The 20811-nt window shown below is 59.2% G+C and overlaps 1 protein-coding gene across 17 annotated transcripts in view; it reads left to right on the plus strand.

The window, feature by feature from the left end:
- The window catches only part of PAK4 (p21 (RAC1) activated kinase 4), a 57031-nt gene extending 38391 nt beyond the window's left edge, over positions 1–18640 (plus strand). For 2 of the 17 annotated variants that reach the window (XM_011526316.2, XM_047438034.1), the window contains exons 2-10: positions 4054–4136; positions 5356–5581; positions 8742–9200; positions 9400–9834; positions 10755–10888; positions 11136–11262; positions 12414–12539; positions 13499–13633; positions 14248–18640. In XM_011526316.2, coding sequence (XP_011524618.1) covers positions 5378–5581; positions 8742–9200; positions 9400–9834; positions 10755–10888; positions 11136–11262; positions 12414–12539; positions 13499–13633; positions 14248–14403 — 1776 coding nt within the window. In that variant the 5' untranslated portion in view covers positions 4054–4136; positions 5356–5377 and the 3' untranslated portion in view covers positions 14404–18640. Of the gene's footprint in view, positions 1–3130; positions 3211–3687; positions 3910–4053; positions 4137–4448; positions 4665–5355; positions 5582–8741; positions 9201–9399; positions 9835–10754; positions 10889–11135; positions 11263–12413; positions 12540–13498; positions 13634–14247 lie in introns of those variants that run through there. The other 15 variants (XM_011526320.2, XM_024451314.2, NM_001014835.2 and 12 more) reach the window with 13 other exon arrangements.

The following is a 20811-nucleotide window of genomic DNA, read 5'->3' on the forward strand; positions in this document are numbered from 1 at the left end:
TGAGGCAGGAGAAGCACATGAACCCACTAGGCGGAGGTTGCAGTGAGCCAAGATCATGCCATTGCACTCCAGCCTGGGCAACAAGAGTGAAACTCTGTCTCAAAAAAAAAAAAAAAAAAAAAGAATTATACACACACACACAAGCACGCCATATATGTGGTAAGAGCCCTGAGGAAAGATAAAGCAGAGACAGGTGTAGAGGGCGACAGGACAGGAGCAGGGCTTGTGAGCACAGGCGGGCCTGGGAAGTCAGGGAAGGTGGGAGATCAGTGAGAGGAGAGTTCCAGGTGGGGCACTCGCCCATGCAAAGGCCCTGAGGTGGAACCATGTCTAGGATTTGAGGAACAGCAGGGGGACCTGTGTGGCCAGGGCACAGTGAGTACAGGGGTGCTTGGGAGAAGAGGAGGGCAGCATGGTGATGGGCGCATCCTGTGGGGACTCTCAGGCCACGAGGAGGCATTTTGGGGGCCAGCAAAGGGTTTAAGGCTGTGAACTCTGGAGTGGGCAGGACTCTGGAATGGGCAGGACTCTGGCTTCCAGGCCCAGCTCTGCTCGGTGAGCTTAGTGAGAGATTTTACCTTTGTGAGTCTCTGTTTCCACAGCTGCAAAATGGGGCTCAGAATGGCCACTCCACCGTGGTTGAGGGCGCCTGCGAGCTCAGCGTCAGCGTCTGCTCTGGGCCATGGGTCCCTTGTGGTGGTGGCGATGGTGGTGGGAGTACCGAGCTGAGCCTCAGGCCACATTTGGTGGGAGGGGTTGGTTTTAAGCATCTTTCCTGCTGCACAGGCCCATGGGAAAGGCTGGTGTACAGCCATTGGGGAGGTGGGGGCCCCGGGGCCCACTTTGTGCTTCCTCCCACTACCCGTGGGGTCCAGGACAGGTCACACAGGAGGGAGGGACCCTCACTCAGCAGAGACTAGGCAGGAGAGGAAAGGCAAGGTCTGGGTGTAGACAGAAAGAATGGGAACGGAGGGAGAGGGGAGGCCAGGACCAGCCTTGAGAGGATGATGATGATGATGATAATAATAATAATAATAATAATAAGGCCGGGCGCGGTGGCTCACGCCTGTAATCCCAGCATTTTGGAAGGCCGAGGCAGGTGGATCATGAGGTCAGGAGATCGAGACCATCCTGCCTAACACAGTGAAACCCCATCTCTACTAAAAATACAAAAAAAAAAAAAAAAAAATTAGCCGGGCATGGTGGTGGGCACCTATAGTCCCAGCTACTGGGGAGGCTGAGGCAGGAGAATGGCGCAAACCCGGGAGGCGGAGGTTGCAGTGAGCTGAGATTGCACCACTGCACTCCAGCCTGGGCGACAGAGCAAGACTCCCTCTCAAAATAAATAAATAAATAAATAAATAAATAAATAAATAAAATAATAATAGACAAAACCAACAGTGTCACCTCAGCCCTCCAGGGCAGCAGGACAGGCAGGTAAGAGCCCAGCCTTCAGTGCCTTCCATACACAACCGCCCAGGTTCAAATCCTGGCTGCTTCTCATGTCTGCCTCTCACTGGCTGCTTCTCCTGTCCATGCCCTGGACAAGGGCCTTCCCTTCTCTGGGCCTCAGTTTTCCCATTCATGAATTGGGATGAGGATGCTTGTGAGGATGGAACGGGATTAGACGCACAGCAGGGCCGGAACCCGCGAATCTCTGCAGACAGGCCTGGAGTCTGGTGTCCACTCTGCCACCCTAGCTGGGCCACCTGGGTTAATGAGGTCCCCCTCTGTGCCTTGTTTTCCCTGTCTGTAATCCGGGGCTTATTAATGGCCCCTCCCTCCAGGATCATATGTGGGACTCCGGGTAAAGTGCCTGGAAGAGGGCTGGTATACAGTAGGTACTCAGTAAGTGCTGGCTGCTATTGGAATGGTGACCGGCACTTACTGAGCACTTACTGTGTGTGTGATTTGCCTTGGTTCTGATCCCAACCACTGTCTCTGGGCCAGGCCCTCCGTGCCCTCTGTTCTGCGTAATTCCTTATAAAAACTCCAGGAAGGCCAGGCGCAGGGCTCACGCCTGTAATCCTAACACTTTGGGAAGCCAAGGCAGATCACTAGAGGTCAGACCAGCCTGGCCAACATGGTGAAACCCCATCTCTACTAAAAATACAAAAATTAGCTGGGCGTGGTGGCAGGCGCCTGTAATCCCAGCTACTTGGGAGGCTGAGGCAGGAGAATTGCTTGAAGCCGGGAGGCGGAGGTTGCAGTGAGCCAAGATCGCACCACTGCACTCCAGCCTGGGCGACAGAGCAAGACTCCGTTTAAAATAAATAAATAAATACTCCACGAAGCAGCTACTATTATCGCCGTCTTTGAACAGAGGAGGAAACTGAGGCACAGCGTGGCTGAGTTGCTCACCCAGGGCCACATATTGAGGTCCCCAGGTTGGGTTAGAGCTCCAGTTCACAGACACAGAAAGTGAGGTCATATAGGGCCAGTCGTGGCAGCCCTGCTGGGGTTTGGAGCCCTAGGCAGCCTGACTGCCAAGCTTGGAGCTGGCCTGGGAGCCCAGCCCCCACCCTTCCCTCCCTGCACCTGGGCAAGCCCAGCCTTTCTGCCTAGCTCTTCTCCCTCTTCCCAGGCCTGGCACGGCCTCTGTGGCCCCCATGAGGTCAGGAGCATCTGTTGGGAAGGGAGCGCCTGCTGGGGAAGCCGGCAGGGCTTGGAGCTGCACAGGACGGCCCAGGGTGGGGTCCCTGCCTGGTCATTATAAACATGTTCAGTTCCTCTGTTTGTCCTGCCCTCTGTGCAGTGCCCAGAGGGAAGGGGTGGCCCCAGGCAAATATCCGGAGGCGTGCCCCTTGCCCCCTTCCCTTGGGGGTTTATGGGTGGGAGGGCAGGAGGCCAGGCGTCGGAGGACATCCCCCAGACCCCATGCTGCCAGCTGGGCCAGCCGCCCGCCCTCCAGGCTGCTCTTGCCCCGTCCCCAGGTGTCCCCCACCTCAGGGTCTGCCCCGCTGTCCGCCCTCCGGGCTTAGTGAGGGGTCACATGGCTGATCCTCTTCCCGTGGCTCTGGGAACTGCCTAGTGCCCCGCAGTGGGGAGGGAGCGGGATGGGGCGGGGCGACAGGTTCACGATGAAGAGGCCTGGGCTGGGCATGGGGCCAAAGGGGGTGGAGGGACATCTGGGAGGACGGAGAGGCCGGAGGACATGGGACGCAGATCTGGAATGACAGCAGGCAGAGTGGGCAAATGGGGACTGTTGGGGTATGTGGATGACCCTGGGAGCTGGGCCTAGAAAGCCATGAGAGAGTAGGTCAGGGCCACCAGGGGTGGGCTGGGCTGGAAGGCCACGAGGGAGGGGTGGGCAGCACTCAGGGCGCCAGCATTGGGCTCAGAGAAGGGGCTGGGCAGAGACAAAGGAGGCCCCCCGTCCGCCCTCCATCCTGGGCCCCAGGGCAAGCAGGGAAACTGGGCCAACCCTGGGAGCCTTGGCCAGGCCCGGCTCTGACCACCCGCTGGCCTCTTGGGACCAGCTGAGACAGGTTGGCTGCCGGGCCCCCACCCCCCTCCCACGGGGCTCCCGCTGCCAAACCGGTTCCCCTGGCTGGCTCCCATGGATGGTCCTAGCTCTGGGCAGGGCCTCACCTTTCCCAGCTGCTCCCAGGAAGGCAGCCTGAGCCGGGAGGAGAAGTAGGTGTGGAGGGGCTACGTGCATCTGCGCGTCCTCTGTCCTCTCACTAGGGCTACAGGACTTGCTGTGCCACGCGCTGTGCCAGGCGCGGGGGAGCCAGCTGGGACAAGACAGAACAGAAACTCCACCTGCATGTCCCCTCGTCCCCTGGTCTCAACTCTTCCCCTCTTCCTGGAAGCCTTCCTGCTGCCCACCCCGCGTCCCTCCAGACTGGGTCCCGTGCTCCCGTCCCCCAGCCCTGACCACCCTGGGCAGCTGCTGCATGGGGACAGGTCTGTCTGCCCCACACGAATTTCCCATGAGGTCAAAGGCTGTCTGGGTCACTGCAGTGGCCACAGAGGAGGCCCATTGCTGAGTTATTCCCAAATGAATGAATGAATGAGTGAGTGAATGGATGCATTCCTCTCATTTTACAGATGAGTAACCCGAAGCCCCTAGAGGAGTGGTCACCTGCCTGAGGGCACTTCTGTCCCACCAGCATCAGACCAGGTGTGTGCAGGTGTGTGCGACTCCAGGGCCCAGGCCCGGGGCAGCTGGGGTGGGGCCTTAGGGGGGAGCAGGACCTGGGCCCCTCCTCCCACAGGCACTGTGGGAGCCGCCCCAGCCATCACAGTGGTCCCCACCGATAGGCCCCCCATATTTGCCCAGCCCTGCACCAAGCTCTTTGCTCCCAGTCACCCATTACCCCTCGCAGCAGCCCTGTGGGGGTTCATCCACAGCACAGAGAGGTTGTCACCTGCCCAAGGTCACGGCAGCATGTGATGGAGAGTCGAACTCTGGCCTCTTGGCTCCCCCTCCCATCTTTCTCCAGGCTCTCTATGGGATGCCGCCATCAGAATGTCTCTTCCTCAGCCCCTTTGTTTTTTAAAGTGGCTTTGGTCGACCATTTGCTCTGTGCTTGGTACTGTGTCAAGGGCCCGATTGAAGACCACAGATCCTAAAGATAGGGGAGTGTCGCGACAAGGCTGCCTGGGGTGCCCTCTTAACCCAGGGGATCAGTAACCCTGTGCTGAGTCAATATCCAAAGGTGTGGGCGTCCCCAGCCCAGACTCATGGCTGGACCAGTGGCAGTGGCCAGGCCATCAGTGACCGTCCATCCAGTACACACCATGTACCAGGCATAGCAGGGGATGTGGGGAAGCGGGGCAGACGAGACCCAGCCAGAATGTGGCACTGACACTCTAGCGGTGCGGTGTGGATGCTGCACTCATGAACCTAAGAAGGAACAACAAACAGGATTTCCATGAGTTCCGGGCTGTGACTGTGATGTAGAGCGGGGGGACGGCGGGACACGGGGCTCTTTGCCTTGGGGTGGTCAGGAAAGGAGTCACTGCTGCTCTGAGAACTGAAGGAGGGGACGGGGAGCCCTGTGCAGACACTGGGAAGTGAGCTCCTGGCAGAGGGGCCAGCCCGTGCAAAGGCTCTGAGGTCTCCAGGGGGGGTGAGAACAGAGAGGTGATGGGGCCTTGTGGGCCCGCAGGAGACAGAGCGGCAGGAAAGTTCTGAGCAGAGGGACGTGACCGCTCGGGTGCTCACGGGTACCCTCTGGCTGTGTGTGCCACACAGATGGGCGCAGGGGGTGGGCAGGGAGACCCAGAAGGAGGCTACTGCCTCCTGTTGGTCCCGGTGTAAGATGAGGATGGGAGGGACAGAGCAGGGGCAGAGGAGGAAGAGACATGGGCAGGCTCTCACTCACCCACCGTGATTCCCTCCCGCAGGCCGCACCGAGTCCCCGGCACCATGTTTGGGAAGAGGAAGAAGCGGGTGGAGATCTCCGCGCCGTCCAACTTCGAGCACCGCGTGCACACGGGCTTCGACCAGCACGAGCAGAAGTTCACGGGGCTGCCCCGCCAGTGGCAGAGCCTGATCGAGGAGTCGGCTCGCCGGCCCAAGCCCCTCGTCGACCCCGCCTGCATCACCTCCATCCAGCCCGGGGCCCCCAAGGTATGTGGCACCCACCACCACCTCCCCCAGCCCACCCCAACCCCCGAGTGGCCCTGGCCCTCAACCCCACACTCGACCCTGTGACCGACACCTCCTCACTGACATGGAAATGGAGACAAACCCCAGCCTTCCACCCCTATCCTGGGTCCAGTGCTGGCCTTTCACCCTCCACCCACTGGCTCCAAGTCCTAAGAACCCATGCCACCCCAACCTGAGCCTCCCCCACGGCCCATCTGACAGCCCCCACACCAGCCTCCAAGCTCTGCTGTCTCCCGCAGACTCATGTCCCGGGGGCCATGCTGCTGTACCCCGGACCACACTCCTGTCTCACCCAACCTTGAGCCTTTCCAGAGCTCCTGGCAGTGGAAGACAGACCCATTCCCAGAGGGTGACAGCCCCAAGTGGTCAGGGCTTGGGTGGGGGAGCCCGGAGGAGGCACCTGACACAGACCAGGGGTCCAGGCAAGCTTCTGGGAGGAGGGGACACCGAGGCAGAGCCCAGGGCTGAGGAGGAGGAGGAGAAATTCCAGCAGATGCTGGGGAAGCCGGGCTTTAGTGGAGAAAATCACTCCTGTGAAACGCTGGGGGCTTTTTGGTTTTGGGTTTTTTTTTTTCTTCCTGCCATCTAGAGCAAAATGGCAAGGTTGGGATTTGAACCAATGTCTGTTTCCAAGGCCCGTGCTCTTAACCCCTCTGCTGCCTCCATGTGAAATCATAAGAGTTGTGGAGCCGGTGTCTGGGTGTGGCCTGGCATGAGGCTGGCCTGGCCTGAGCCCGTGCTGGGCCTCTGAAGCCAGCCTTGGAGCCTGGACTCTCTCCCATGGTCAGTGGGGACCAGGAGGGGCCGCAGGCCAAGGGGAACTCGGCCAGGTTTGCATCCAGCGGGTGGAGATGGGTGTGCCTGGGGACTCACCCTCCCGGTGCCCAGCCCAGCCTGGCGGGGAGAAGCCCCAAGGCCCACAAGTTGGCCATAGACACAAGTGCAGCCTCAATGTGGTAGCCCACTGAGGGGTCCGTGTGGTCCTTGCAGGGTGCTTTTGAATGCTTTGACTTCTTTGCCTCCACTGAGAAAGTGACAGACTTCACTTCCAAAGCCGTTTCTGGCATCTGGTGACAGACCAGCTGGAGGCGAGTGGCAGCTGCCTCCACGGGCAGGGCACTGGCTCTTCTGGGCCACAGGCCGCACCCGACCCACCTCAGCTCCACGCCCTGCCTGGCTCTGTGGCCACTTGCATGTAGGCTTTGCCCCCACCAAGGTGTCTCCAAAAACCCAGCCCCTGCCTGGCTTGCCAGATGTGAGGCCTGCCTGTGACTGTCCCAGCAGGAGGCAGGGCACTTGAATTCACACATGGGGCCTTGTGGCCAGCACTGTCCTGGGGCCCCATAGGCACTTGTGTTTGCTGCCCTTGACCGGGCCTCAGGCCTCCCAGGACCTTCTCGACTCCCTGTTGGTTTTTTTTTTTTTTTTTTTGAGAGACATTCCTGCTCTGTCTCCCTGGCTGGAGTGCAGTGGCGCCACCTCGGCTCATGCAACCTTCGCCTCCTGGGTTCAAGCGATTTTCCTGCCTCAGCCTCCCGCGTAGCTGGGATTACAGGCGCCCACCACTATGCCCATCTAATTTTTGTATTTTTAGTAGAGACGGGTTTTCGCCATTTTGGCCAGGCTGGTCTCAAACTCCTGACCTCAGGTGATCCTCAGCCTCCCGAGGTGCTGGGATTATAGGCGTGAGCCACTGCTTCTTGCCTCAACGCCCTGTTCTAACAGCAAAGTCTGGCCTTGTGTCCACCTTGACTTCCTGGGGCCCCTGGGCAAGGCCCGGCTTCAGGCAGACAGCCACGGCCAGGAGAGACAGGGCAGCGGCAGACCACGGATTTTGTGGGATCAGTGTTTTCTACACGTTACAGGCAGGCCTCTGGCTGGAGGATGCCTGGCAGCCCCAGGCAGGGTCCGGGTTTCGTGGGATCAGTGTTTTCCACACATTAGAGGCAGGCCTCCGGCTGGAGGACATCTGGCAGCCCCGGGCAGGGTCCTTGTCAGCAGGGCCCACGTTCTCAGCTCACTGTGGCCTTTGCACAGACACCTCACTCACTACGTGGTTTAGCAAAAGTTCACTGAGCCCCTGCTGTGCGCCAGATGCTGGTCTAGGTGCTGAGATGGAGCAGGACCCGAAGCAGACAGGAAAAAACAATCCCTGCCCAGAGCATGCACTAGGCAGAGCCGGGAGCAGACAGATGCCTGTGTGCTCTGTATCAGCTGCTGTTAGGTGCTCTAGGTAGAATGCAGGCAGGGCAGGGGCCGGGGAGGGCAGGGGCTGGCATTTTAGATGATGGGAGGCCAGCAGAAGCCTCACTGAGAAGCTGAGTTTTGAGCAAAGACCTGAAGGAGTGGAGGGAGGGAGCCACAGGGACCCTGAGAGCTGATGTTCCAGGCAGAGGGAGCCGCCAGCGGAGAGGCCCTGGGCGCAGGGGGGCGGGGGTGGGGGAGACACCCGTGTGTCTGGAAATGGAACGGGGGCAGAGGGGGCCTGCAGGACACGACTCAGACCACAGAGGGTGGGGACCGGGTGACTCGGGATGCACTGGATGCTCTGCCTGGTCCCCATCTGCATTTGCATTTGCCACCCGGCTCCTGGGACCCCCTTGCCCTCTACTTTGGGACCAGGCCTTTCTGACTCTCCCTGTCCCCCACTCCTTGTTGTTCATGGGAGCAGAGAGTGTGGTTTTGGGGCTAAGGAACACTGGCGCCCACATGGGAGGAAGTGCCAGGCCAGGCCCTGGCCCCAGCGCCCTGTCATTTGCAGCCCTCGGGGCTGATTATGGGGTGGGTCAATTTCTGCCCTTCCTCCCCCAAACCCCTCAGGGCAGGACTATTCCACCAGTGTGAGGAACAGGAGAAAAACAAGGGGGGCCTCTCCAGGGTCCCACCGAGCCCAGGGGGCAGCAGCCTGGCCATGGCGATCACTCCTCTGGCCCCTGCAGCTGTGTCCCCAGGGAGGGGAGGGGCTGCACTGCCCATGCCATTGTCACTCCATGGCATCTCTTCATTGCGTCTCTGTCTTGTCTCTGTGTGTGTCGTGCTGTCCTGTCCCTGCGTGTCGGATGCACGTCCTGTGTGCCCCACTCCTTGCTGGGCCCCCACCCACCATTGCCTGGGACCCCAGACCATCGTGCGGGGCAGCAAAGGTGCCAAAGATGGGGCCCTCACGCTGCTGCTGGACGAGTTTGAGAACATGTCGGTGACACGCTCCAACTCCCTGCGGAGAGACAGCCCGCCGCCGCCCGCCCGTGCCCGCCAGGAAAATGGGATGCCAGAGGAGCCGGCCACCACGGCCAGAGGGGGCCCAGGGAAGGCAGGCAGCCGAGGCCGGTTCGCCGGTCACAGCGAGGCGGGTGGCGGCAGTGGTGACAGGCGACGGGCGGGGCCAGAGAAGAGGCCCAAGTCTTCCAGGGAGGGCTCAGGGGGTCCCCAGGAGTCCTCCCGGGACAAACGCCCCCTCTCCGGGCCTGATGTCGGCACCCCCCAGCCTGCTGGTCTGGCCAGTGGGGCGAAACTGGCAGCTGGCCGGCCCTTTAACACCTACCCGAGGGCTGACACGGACCACCCATCCCGGGGTGCCCAGGTAACCCATCCCCCGCCCCAGGGCCCCCACTGTCCCCTGCCCGTTGCTCCTCTGTCCCCACCTTCCAGCCCCGCCCCACCACCGTGCATCTCATCCTGACCACCCATGTGTCTGTCCCATCGCTGGGTCTCTCTCCTGCTTAGGGAGCAGAGCTGCTCCCTGGCACCCATCACTGACAGCTACCTCTCTTCTGTTTCAGGGGGAGCCTCATGACGTGGCCCCTAACGGGCCATCAGCGGGGGGCCTGGCCATCCCCCAGTCCTCCTCCTCCTCCTCCCGGCCTCCCACCCGAGCCCGAGGTGCCCCCAGCCCTGGAGTGCTGGGACCCCACGCCTCAGAGCCCCAGCTGGCCCCTCCAGCCTGCACCCCCGCCGCCCCTGCTGTTCCTGGGCCCCCTGGCCCCCGCTCACCACAGCGGGAGCCACAGCGAGTATCCCATGAGCAGTTCCGGGCTGCCCTGCAGCTGGTGGTGGACCCAGGCGACCCCCGCTCCTACCTGGACAACTTCATCAAGATTGGCGAGGGCTCCACGGGCATCGTGTGCATCGCCACCGTGCGCAGCTCGGGCAAGCTGGTGGCCGTCAAGAAGATGGACCTGCGCAAGCAGCAGAGGCGCGAGCTGCTCTTCAACGAGGTGCGGGCGCTGCTGCCCTGCCGCCCTGCTGGTCCTCCCACCCCTCCCTCCCACCCTCCCTCCCCTCCTCCCTCCTCTCCCTGCACTCCTCCGTGCTGGGCCAGGCTCCCCTCCTCCCCTCACTCTTCTCCCTCCCCAGGCCGTCTCGTCCGCCCCAGCTGGGTCCCTGCCTCTGTCCTCACAGCACCCTCACCCACATCTCTGTCCCTGAGCCCCAGACCCAGGGTTCCTCGGGCCACTGACCCCCGACCCAGTGTCTTCCAGGCCCCTCGCACCCACTGAGGCCCGCCTGGGCTCCAGGGTACAGTGTCCTCCAGACCTGCCCCTCCTGGGTTCCCTGTGCCCCGCCCTGGCCTCCACTCCTGGGTGTCCCTCGGCACAGCCCACACAACCACCAAGAGTATGTTTCTGACGTTCAGGCCCACCCCCTCCCCGTCCCTCCTTAGAGACCCTGGCAGTGCCCCGTAGCACCCTGACGATAGGAAGCCCAGGTCCCTTTGCCGGGTGTGTGAGGCCCCTCTCGACCCCGTTGCCCATCACAGTGCCGGGCTGCACCATGGAGCTCCTCGCCTGGGTTCCTCATCCTCCCGCCGACACACGCCTCTTCTCTCATCCTTGCCCTTGTCCGGGTCTCAGCCCTGTGATTGAACGCTCTCTTCCCACCTGCCCCCCAGCACTAGCCCAGGACTGACCTGAGATGGGCGTGTGCCCAGGGGGGCGCGCCCCCAGAAGGGAGGCGTGGGCTTCAAGCTGGCTCTGAGGCCCACGTGGCTGTGGCAGTAGGGGAGGGCAGTCCAGGTGGCCCCAGTGAGCACAAGCTTAATGTGGAACTGCAGGGGGAGCCAGGGGGGTGGCGGTGGCTGGGTCTGGCACTGGCAGCCCTCCCGCCTCCCTCCACCACTGACCCAGCCCCTGCACAGGTGGTAATCATGAGGGACTACCAGCACGAGAATGTGGTGGAGATGTACAACAGCTACCTGGTGGGGGACGAGCTCTGGGTGGTCATGGAGTTCCTGGAAGGAGGCGCCCTCACCGACATCGTCACCCACACCAGGTATTTCTGGGGCCTCAGACCCCTCCTGTGACACGACCAAGTCCCCTCCAGACCACTAGGGGTGGGGCCACATCTCCAAACCAGCTGTGCTCCGGGCCCCTGGGATGGGGTCGTGTCTTCCATTCCTCCCACTCCAGAGTGGGGTCGAGTGGTCTCAGATTCCTCCCACTGCAAGGCAGGGCTGCGTCCCCCTCGGCACCCCGGGGTGCTGTCCAGCTGGCTGCTCACCCCCCACCCCACCCCGCAGGATGAACGAGGAGCAGATCGCGGCCGTGTGCCTTGCAGTGCTGCAGGCCCTGTCGGTGCTCCACGCCCAGGGCGTCATCCACCGGGACATCAAGAGCGACTCGATCCTGCTGACCCATGATGGCAGGGTGAGGGGACGGGCGGCGGGGTACGGGGGCGGCAGGTTTCCGGCTGCGGGGCTTCCCTGCCTCTTCCCATCCCCTGTGAGGGTAGGTGAGCTCTGACCCCCAGGTCTGTGTCTTGAGGAGCTGGGAACTTCGTCCCTCCCTGGTGGAGCAGCCCAGAGTCAGGTTCCAGCTCAGTGGGGACTCTGTGCAGTGGGAGGGCACAGGCTGGCGGGGGCTCTGCCATCAGCACAGGACACTGGGCCCAGGGGCAGGGATCTGGGCAGACAGCGCAGCCCCCGCCACAGGCTTCTTCCTCCACTGAAAAGCTGCTCCCTGCCCAGCACCCAGGGCGGTCCATGGACCCCAGTCCTGTCTTCCATGCTTTGGACTGAGGTTCCAAATCTGAGGCTGTGACAATTATAACGTCGGGTGGACATGATTTTCTGTGAGAGAGGGCCCTTGACTTGAATGAAATGCTTGCAGAAGTGGATGACTCCATCCCCTCCCCCAAGGAAGATTAAGCCACACCATTAGTCCAGGCAGAGGCAGAGAGAGCTCTGTGTCACTGACAGTCTGAAAATCTCCAGATGTCTATAGATGTGTTTTGGGGGCGATGTCTATGGGCCACCTGAGATTGTCCACACACGGTTGTGGGGATGTTTGCTGGAGGCAGGAAGACCCATAGAAATCCTCAAAAATCGGAAAGGGACCCACAGTTCCTAAGAAGGTGTGAGAGGCCTGGTTGTCGCAAAGGCAGGCTGTGTCCCCTCACGGCCCTAGTGCAGGGCTACTTTCTGCTCCAACCGAACTAAAGACTTGTTCCAGGGCAGCAGGGCCCCAGGGCACAGGCTTTTGGGGCCACCCCTGTTCCCAGCTCCGGCCCTGCCTTTGCTATCTGCAGTACTCAGGCCAGTGTCCCCAAAAGCCCCAGAGGCTGTCAGGGAGGGAAATGGGGGGATCGTGGGGGAGGTGACTTGCCCGAGGGCCCCCACCAGGAGGTGGTGGAGCTCCCCATTGGTCTGGCTCTAGACCCCAGCTCTGACCCTAGACCCCAGCTCTGACCTCTGGGCCGCACATTGTGTCTGAAGCCAAGGAATGACGCAGGCAGACGCCCCTGCTCGCCCTCCTGCTGTGCCAGCTCCTCTGACCCCACTGCCTCTGCCCTGTCCCAGGTGAAGCTGTCAGACTTTGGGTTCTGCGCCCAGGTGAGCAAGGAAGTGCCCCGAAGGAAGTCGCTGGTCGGCACGCCCTACTGGATGGCCCCAGAGCTCATCTCCCGCCTTCCCTACGGGCCAGAGGTGAGCCCCGGGGTGGCTTGGTTGTCCCGCCGTGGACAGCGTACGCTGCCATTTTCCAGCTGCAGCGCTGGCGGGAGATGGGGCCCAGTCTGGGGAGTCATTGCCAGGAATGGTGCTCTGGACAAGGAGGTACTGCAGGCATGCATGTATTCATTCTTCTTTTTTTTTTTTGAGATGGAGTCTCGCTCTGTTGCCCAGGCTGGAGTGCAGTGGTGCAATCTCAGCTCACTGCAACCTCCACCTCCCGGGTTCAAGCGATTCTCCTGCCTCAGCCTCCCGAGAAGCTGGTTTTACAGGCACCCGCCACCATGCCTGGCTAATTTTTGTATTAGTAGAGATGGGGGTTTCACCATGTTGGCCAGGTTGGTCTTGAACTCCTGACCTCAGGTGATCTATCCGCCTTGGCCTCCTAAAGTGCTGGGATTACAGATGTGAGCCACCGCGCCCAGCCTTGGCTCTGCCTTCTGAGCATTGTTTTCACAGGCCGGCTTTCCCCTTGTGGGAGCAGAGCTGGTCCCGGCAGCTCTGGGAAGTGTCTCCCACCTATGGGCTCCTCTTTTTCCCTGGGTGTTTTGGGTAAAGTCCCCAGGTTGGCTCTGATTGGCTCAGCCTGGGTCCTGTGCCTGTTTCTGAACCAATCACTGTGTCTCCACTGTGGTGATGAGGCCGCATGGGTCCTGAACCCACCAGTGGATGCTACCTGGGCTGAGGGAGGGAGGACACCTGGGGGCAGTTGACAGAAAGAAGAGGGGTGGGTGCTGGGGGGGCAGCTCTCTTGAGGGGCTCCCTGGAGGACTAGTGCTCTGTGGACTGCTGGCTGGGTGCCCAAGAGGGAGTTCTGGGCCAAGGACTCCAGGAGCCAGAGGCAGAGACAGCGCTGGAGCGGTCCCTGCCTGAGGCCTCCCCAGGACCCACCATCCCCCAACAGCTCAGCCCTGCTGTCCCTTCTCCCGCCCCAGGTAGACATCTGGTCGCTGGGGATAATGGTGATTGAGATGGTGGACGGAGAGCCCCCCTACTTCAACGAGCCACCCCTCAAAGCCATGAAGATGATTCGGGACAACCTGCCACCCCGACTGAAGAACCTGCACAAGGTAGGCCCCTCCCTGGCTGGGAAACTGTGCGCCAGCTGGCGGGTGGCAGGGCTCCAGGTGGAGCATGGGGTGTGGATGGGATGGGGACAATGATGGCGCCTGGGATGGCGCTTACTGTGTGCTGGGCCCCCCACCCCCGGGCCTCATGTGTCTGTGCAGACCCCCTCTGTGGGGCCTGGGCGACAGAGGCAGCAGAGCCACAGGCCCTCTGCACCCTCACCATTGCCCTGGGCCCCACCCAGCCCTAGAGAGATTTGCACGTTTAGAAGTGGAGGACAGGGCCGGGACCTTCCTAGTGGAGGACTTGCCAGGAGGGAAAGGGGCACCTCTGGGCCCCAGTTGCTTTCAGCTTCTTGCTAAACCATGGAAATAGGGAGTACATGAGCCCCCAGGGTTTGTCACTTCCTCTGGGGCCACATAGTAAGCGCCATCACAGGTGCCATCACTGTCCCTGTCCCGTCTACACCCCAAGATCTAGACACCCATGACCTCCGCCCCCTGCCCTCCTGCACAGTACATGCCGCCAGCCGACTTGGCAGAGGCGGACACTGCAGCCCTACAGCAAATGAACAGTGGGGAGCCTCGCCCCCTGACCCTCCCCTCCTTCTCGACAGGTGTCGCCATCCCTGAAGGGCTTCCTGGACCGCCTGCTGGTGCGAGACCCTGCCCAGCGGGCCACGGCAGCCGAGCTGCTGAAGCACCCATTCCTGGCCAAGGCAGGGCCGCCTGCCAGCATCGTGCCCCTCATGCGCCAGAACCGCACCAGATGAGGCCCAGCGCCCTTCCCCTCAACCAAAGAGCCCCCCGGGTCACCCCCGCCCCACTGAGGCCAGTAGGGGGCCAGGCCTCCCACTCCTCCCAGCCCGGGAGATGCTCCGCGTGGCACCACCCTCCTTGCTGGGGGTAGATGAGACCCTACTACTGAACTCCAGTTTTGATCTCGTGACTTTTAGAAAAACACAGGGACTCGTGGGAGCAAGCGAGGCTCCCAGGACCCCCACCCTCTGGGACAGGCCCTCCCCCATGTTCTTCTGTCTCCAGGAAGGGCAGCGGCCCTCCCATCACTGGAAGTCTGCAGTGGGGGTCGCTGGGGGTGGAGAGAACACTAAGAGGTGAACATGTATGAGTGTGTGCACGCGTGTGAGTGTGCATGTGTGTGTGTGCAAAGGTCCAGCCACCCCGTCCTCCAGCCTGCAAGGGGTGTCTGGCGCCTTGCCTGACACCCAGCCCCCTCTCCCCCTGAGCCATTGTGGGGGTCGATCATGAATGTCCGAAGAGTGGCCTTTTCCCGTAGCCCTGCGCCCCCTTTCTGTGGCTGGATGGGGAGACAGGTCAGGGCCCCCCACCCTCTCCAGCCCCTGCAGCAAATGACTACTGCACCTGGACAGCCTCCTCTTTTCTAGAAGTCTATTTATATTGTCATTTTATAACACTCTAGCCCCTGCCCTTATTGGGGGACAGATGGTCCCTGTCCTGCGGGGTGGCCCTGGCAGAACCACTGCCTGAAGAACCAGGTTCCTGCCCGGTCAGCGCAGCCCCAGCCCGCCCACCCCTGCCTCGAGTTAGTTTTACAATTAAAACATTGTCTTGTTTTGTGTCTGTGTGCGATGTGTGGGGGGCAGGGGGCCCTGCCCGGCTGTCTTGGGTGGGAATTTGCAGGGAGAGGGTCTGGATCTGGGAGCAAACCACGATTCCAGCCAAGGCAGGGCAAGGGTGGGGTGGGGAGTGGGGAGTTCAGGTCATAGCAGCCAGTAAGCTCCCCCAGCCTGCCACTCCCCAGAATGGGGCAGGATTGTCCCCACCCCTGGAAGCAGCCAGTTTGCCACAGTCCATGTGCAGACTGATCCCAGTTTGCCAAATCTGCAATTTCCTGGAACCTTTTAAAGGCTGTCTTGAGCGCGTTTGGTGAGTAGGAGCTAACCCAAGTTAGTAAATTGAAGGCCATTTGGCAAATTGGTCAGTGGGCAGATGGGCTTTTGGGGATTGACTGAGGCTGACTGGCCTGGAGCTGCTGGCTTCGGAGAGACACCCTGTGAAGTGTGTCCTTCCACGCAGGAGCCCAGAGCCGAGCCCACGCTGGGGGGAATCTGACTGGCATGGAGGTGGCCATGCCACCATCGCTGCTGCAGCTGCATCCTGGCACTTTGCGCCTCAGGCCCTGTTGGGCTCCACTTTCTGCATCCTCCCCAGCCCCCAGGGAGGCAGTGGAGTGGGGAGAGAGCCAGGAGTGAGCCTCCGTCCCCAAAGCCAGCCAGGCGTCATCAGCACCAGAGACCTCAGCCTGGTCCTCTCGGGAAGTGAGTGGCCAGGGCAGAGATTCCAGGTTAGTCCACGCCTCCCACCCTTCACAGGTCCTGACCCCAAGAATCAGAGCACTGTGTGTGTGGCAGGGCCTATGCCAAGTGCAAACACAGCCTAGATGGATCATCACAGAGTGAAACCCAGCGGTGCAAGCAGCTGTGCTCTCTGCGATGTATTGGAGGCTTAGGTGAGGTGGATGCCTTTCTGGAAAAAAAAAAAATGCTAACATTGGCAAAAGAAGAAATAGAAAACAAGACCAAAATAACTGTCTCCTCACTGCACACACACTCCAGAATAAATAAAAGGTTTCAGGCTTGAATGCACTTTCAAATGAGATTTTTTTTTTTTTTTTGAGACGGAGTATCGCTCTGTCGCCCAGGCTGGAGTGCAGTGGCACGATCTTGGCTCACTGCAACTTCTGCCTCCTGGGTTCAAGCGATTCTCCTGCCTCAGCCTCCCAAGTAGCTGGGATTACAGGCGCTTGCCACCACGCCAGGCTAATTTTTTGTATTTTGAGTAGAGACTGGATTTCGCCATCTTGGCCAGACTGGTCTTGAACTCCTGACCTCGTGATCCACCCACCTCAGCCTCCCAAAGTGCTGGGATTACAGGCATGAGCCACCATGCCTGGCCTCAAATGAGGTTTACCAGACTTTGAAGGAGCAGGTAATTCCTTCTACCTTGTGAACAAGTTGTTCCAGAAAGATAGCAGCTCAGGAGGCCTCTGTGACCATGGTTCCAGACCCAGATAAGGACGGCAAAGAACAGAGCATCTCAGAAACGCAAGGCTCACAGCCAGGGTGCCCGGCGACCCCACGGGCACTGAGAACAGCTAGCTCTAGGAGCTCCACTCTCCTGCTGAAGAAACCACGGGCTCAGAGACGGGGAGCTCCCTCGCCCAGCCACATCTGTGACCCCACGGTAACTCTGCTGGTTTTGGTGCCTTCAGTCACTCACTGCAGGTTTGTTTTGTTTTGTTTTGTTTTGAGTTTTTTTGTTTTTTGTTTTTTGTTTTTAGAGACAAGATGTTGCTATGTTGCCTAGGCTGGTTTCGAACTCCTGGCCTCAAGGGATCCTCCCTCCTTGGCCCCGCAAAGTGCTGGGATTACAGGCGTGAGCCACCGTGCCCAGCCCGCTCACTGCAGTTTGAAGGCATGGCTTTGGGTGGCGTGGGGTGAAAGCTGCCCGAGGCCCCGTTCCTCCCCACGTGGCTGCCTCCTGCCAGAGCCAGTCAGGAAAACAGACCCCAACTAGAGTTGTTTCAAATGGCAGGGATTTGGTACCGGTGGTTGGATCATGACAAAGCTCTGAGAAGGCTGGAGGAGCCACAGAGTGCCAAGTGCCCAGCAATCATTAGAGGAAGGAGGCTGCTGCCACCTGTGTGGCTAGAGGAACAGAGGGGCCAATGGCATTCCCCAAACCCCACTCTCGCCTCTGTCTGGCCAGAGCAGAATGGCTTCTTCCAGCTTCCCACCCTGGACTCCCACCCAGGAGCCTCCTCCTGGCAGACCCTTCCTGACCCCACCGGCCCGGGGGGTCTACAGATCCATGTTTCAGGCGTCCGCCTGGAGCGGAACAGGGGAGTGCTTAGGACAAGGGTGGTGCCAGAGGATCCACTCTGCCCACATTTAGTTGACCAGCTGAGGCACTCCACGGGAATGAATGACTCTCGACAGGTGCCGGAGGTGAGGAGGGGCCCGGAGGCCCAGGAGGGGCACAGGGATGGATTCGTCCGCCTGGGGGCTGGAGGTGTGTTTACAGAGCCCCAAAATAAACAATGCAACCAGGTCAGACCAGCGGTTCTCACAGTGTGGTTCCCAGACCAGCAGCATCACTGGGAGCTTACTGGACACGCAAATAAATCCCTGTGTGCCACCCCAGCTGCATCAGATGCTGGTGGGGCCCAGTGATCTGTATTTAACACACCCTCCGGGGGATGCCGGTGCCCACTCACGTTTGAGAACCCCTGCGATCCACGACTGCCCTCCCGTGTAAAAGGCCCACCTCTGTGGGACTCCAAGTCATCAGCACCCTAGGGTCCTTCCGTCTTTTTCCTTCCTCCTGGGACACCTGCCTCTCCCATGTCGTATTAGAGAATTCCTTATGCTCCCAAGTGGGCACGGGGAGAGGAAGGCACTCCTCTTTAAGGACCGACCCAGAGGTTTTGCCATTGCTTCACTGGCCAGAGCTTAGTCACGCAGCCTCACCCAGAGGCAAGGGAGGTTGGAAAATGTAGTGTTTGTGTGTGTCTAACACAAATTCTATTACCATGCAGTCAGGATTCTCCACTCTTGCTCTTTCATTAGATTTGCTGGGCTTCACCCTGGACTTTCTGATTTAGTGACAGAACAGAGAACCCAGAGGCAGACCCAGATGTGTACAAGGGCTTCATATACAATCAGGAGATTTAATAATCATGCTAGGGGCCGGGTGCAGTGGCTCACGCCTGTAATCCCAAGCACTTTGGGGAGCCGAGGCAGGCAGATCACTTGAGGTCAGGAGTTTGAGACCAGCCTGGGCAACAAAGTGAGACCCTGTCTCTACTAAAAATAACAAAAATTAGCCGGGCGTGGTGGTGGGCGCCTGTAATCCCAGCTCCTCGGGTGGCTGAGGCATGAGAATCACTTGAACCCAGGAGGCAGAGGTTTCAGTGAGCTGAGATCACATCACTGCACTCCAGCCTGGGTGACAGAGTGAGATTCTGTCAAAAAAAAAAAAAGACAAAAAACAACAGGTACGGTGGCTTACACCTGTAATCCCAGCAGTTTGTGAGGCCGAGGTGGGCAGATCACCTGAGGTCAGGAGTTCAGGACCAGCCTGGCCACCATGGTGAAACCCTATCTCTAGTAAAAATACAAAAAAATTAGCCAGGCATGGTGGCGGGTGCCTGTAATCCCACCTATTTGGGAGGCTGAGGCAGGCGGATTGCTTGAATCCGGGAGTTGGAGGTTGCAGTGAGCTGAGATCACGCCACTGCACTCCAGCCTGGGCAACAAGAGCAAAACTCCATCTCAAAAAAAAAATAATTTTCATTTGTAATAGGTATCAGAATGGGGAAAAATATTTGCAGAGTCTAGCACTGATAAGATATCTTCTTAACAAGAAAAAGAGACCAGCCATAACAGGACAATGGGCAAAGGATATGAACAGGCAATTTAGAGAAGAAAGAACTCAAAGCCCAGTAAGGGTGTTCACAGCTGCTCAAACTCGTTAGTCATCAGAGACATGCACGTTCAAACCGTGCGGCGGTATTTTACACCATGAGTCTGATAAAAACAGATCCAGCTTAGTCAAGTGTTGCACATATGTATCTCCCAATGATTCCAATAGTCACACCCGGGTGACTTCCCAAAGAAACTCTCTGGACCTGAGGAAGAGTCGATGAGGACGTTCACTGTAGCATTATTTGTGGGGTGGAGCTGGAGGCAGGGGCATGTCCACCCCAGGGGAGTGGGTGGCTAAACAGAAGGGGTGCACCCCCAAAATTCCTGTCCAGACAGCAGGTAAGAAAAACAATAATAAGATTCATAATACAAGGCTGGGTGTATAAATAGCAAATTATGGACATAAAACAATGGTCCTCATTTTGCAAGGTTAGGAGACTCATTTGCATATTAGCATGGCTGCCACTGGGGAGGGAGAGGGGTGAGGGAAAGAATGAATGAACTGCAGATCTTGGGAGAAATGAAGGCCTTGAAGGCCACACTGAGGCTTGGTTCTCTAAGCAAAGGGGAACTCCCTTTTGTGTGGCTTGGGGCCTGGTCACAGGTATTTAATATAAAAATAAGCCAGGTGATCCTAACATACAGCCAGGATTGAGAATGGGAGAATGGGCTGGGCAAGGTGGCTCACACCTGTAATCCCAGCACTTTGGGAGGCAGAGGTGGGTGGATCACCTGAGTTTAGGAGTTCCAGACCAGCCTGGCCGACATGGTGAAACCCCGTCTCTACTAAGAATACAAAAATTAGCCACGCATGGTGGCGGGCGCTTGTAATCCCAGCTACTCGGGAGGCTGAGGCAGGAGAACTGCTTGAACCTGGGAGGTGGAGGTTGCAGTGAGCCAAGATCGTGCCATTGCACACCAGCCTGGGCAACGAGCGAAACTCCATCTCAAAAACAAAAAACATTGATCGAAGTCTGGCTGTGTTCAGGGGCTTTGCTAAGCTCCTAGTTTTGCGCCATTTAACTCCTGTAGTGGTTACCACCCCCCAAGGAAAAGGTTCCCCCCACCAAAAAAAAAAATAGATTCCCCCCCACTCACAAAAAAAGATAGGTCCACGGAAAATCTGTGAGTGTGGCCTTATTTGGGAAAAGGGTCTTTGCAGATGTGTCCTGAGTTAAGGATCTGGAAATGAGGTCACCCTGGTGTATCCGGGTGGGCTCTTATCTACTGAAAAGTGTCCTTTAGAGAAATGCAGAGGAGATTTGGGGCACACAGAGAAGCAGCCATGAGTCAGGAAAAGCCAGGGGCCTTCCAGGAGAAGCCAGAAGGGGCCAGGAAGCAATCTGTCCTGAAGGCTTCAGAGGGAGGAGAGCCCTGTCCACACCTGCACTTCAGACTTCGGCTTCCAGAACTGAGAGAATACAGCCAGGCATGGAGGCTCACGCCTGTAATCCCAACACTTTGGGAGGCCAAGGCAGGTGAATCACTTGAGGCCAGGAGTTCGAAACCAGCCTGGCCAACATGGCGAAAACCTGTCTCTACTAAAAACACAAAAATTAGCCGGGTGTGGTGGTGGGCACCTGTAATCCCAGCTACTCAGGAGGCAGAGGCAGGAGAATTGCTTGAACCTGGGAGGCAGAGATTGCAGTGAGCCGAGATCGCACCACTGCACTCCAGCCTGGGCAACAGAGCGAGACTCGTCCTCAAAACAAC

This window comes from Homo sapiens, chromosome 19 (assembly GCF_000001405.40).
Source record: "Homo sapiens chromosome 19, GRCh38.p14 Primary Assembly".
Lineage (NCBI taxonomy): Eukaryota > Metazoa > Chordata > Mammalia > Primates > Hominidae > Homo > Homo sapiens.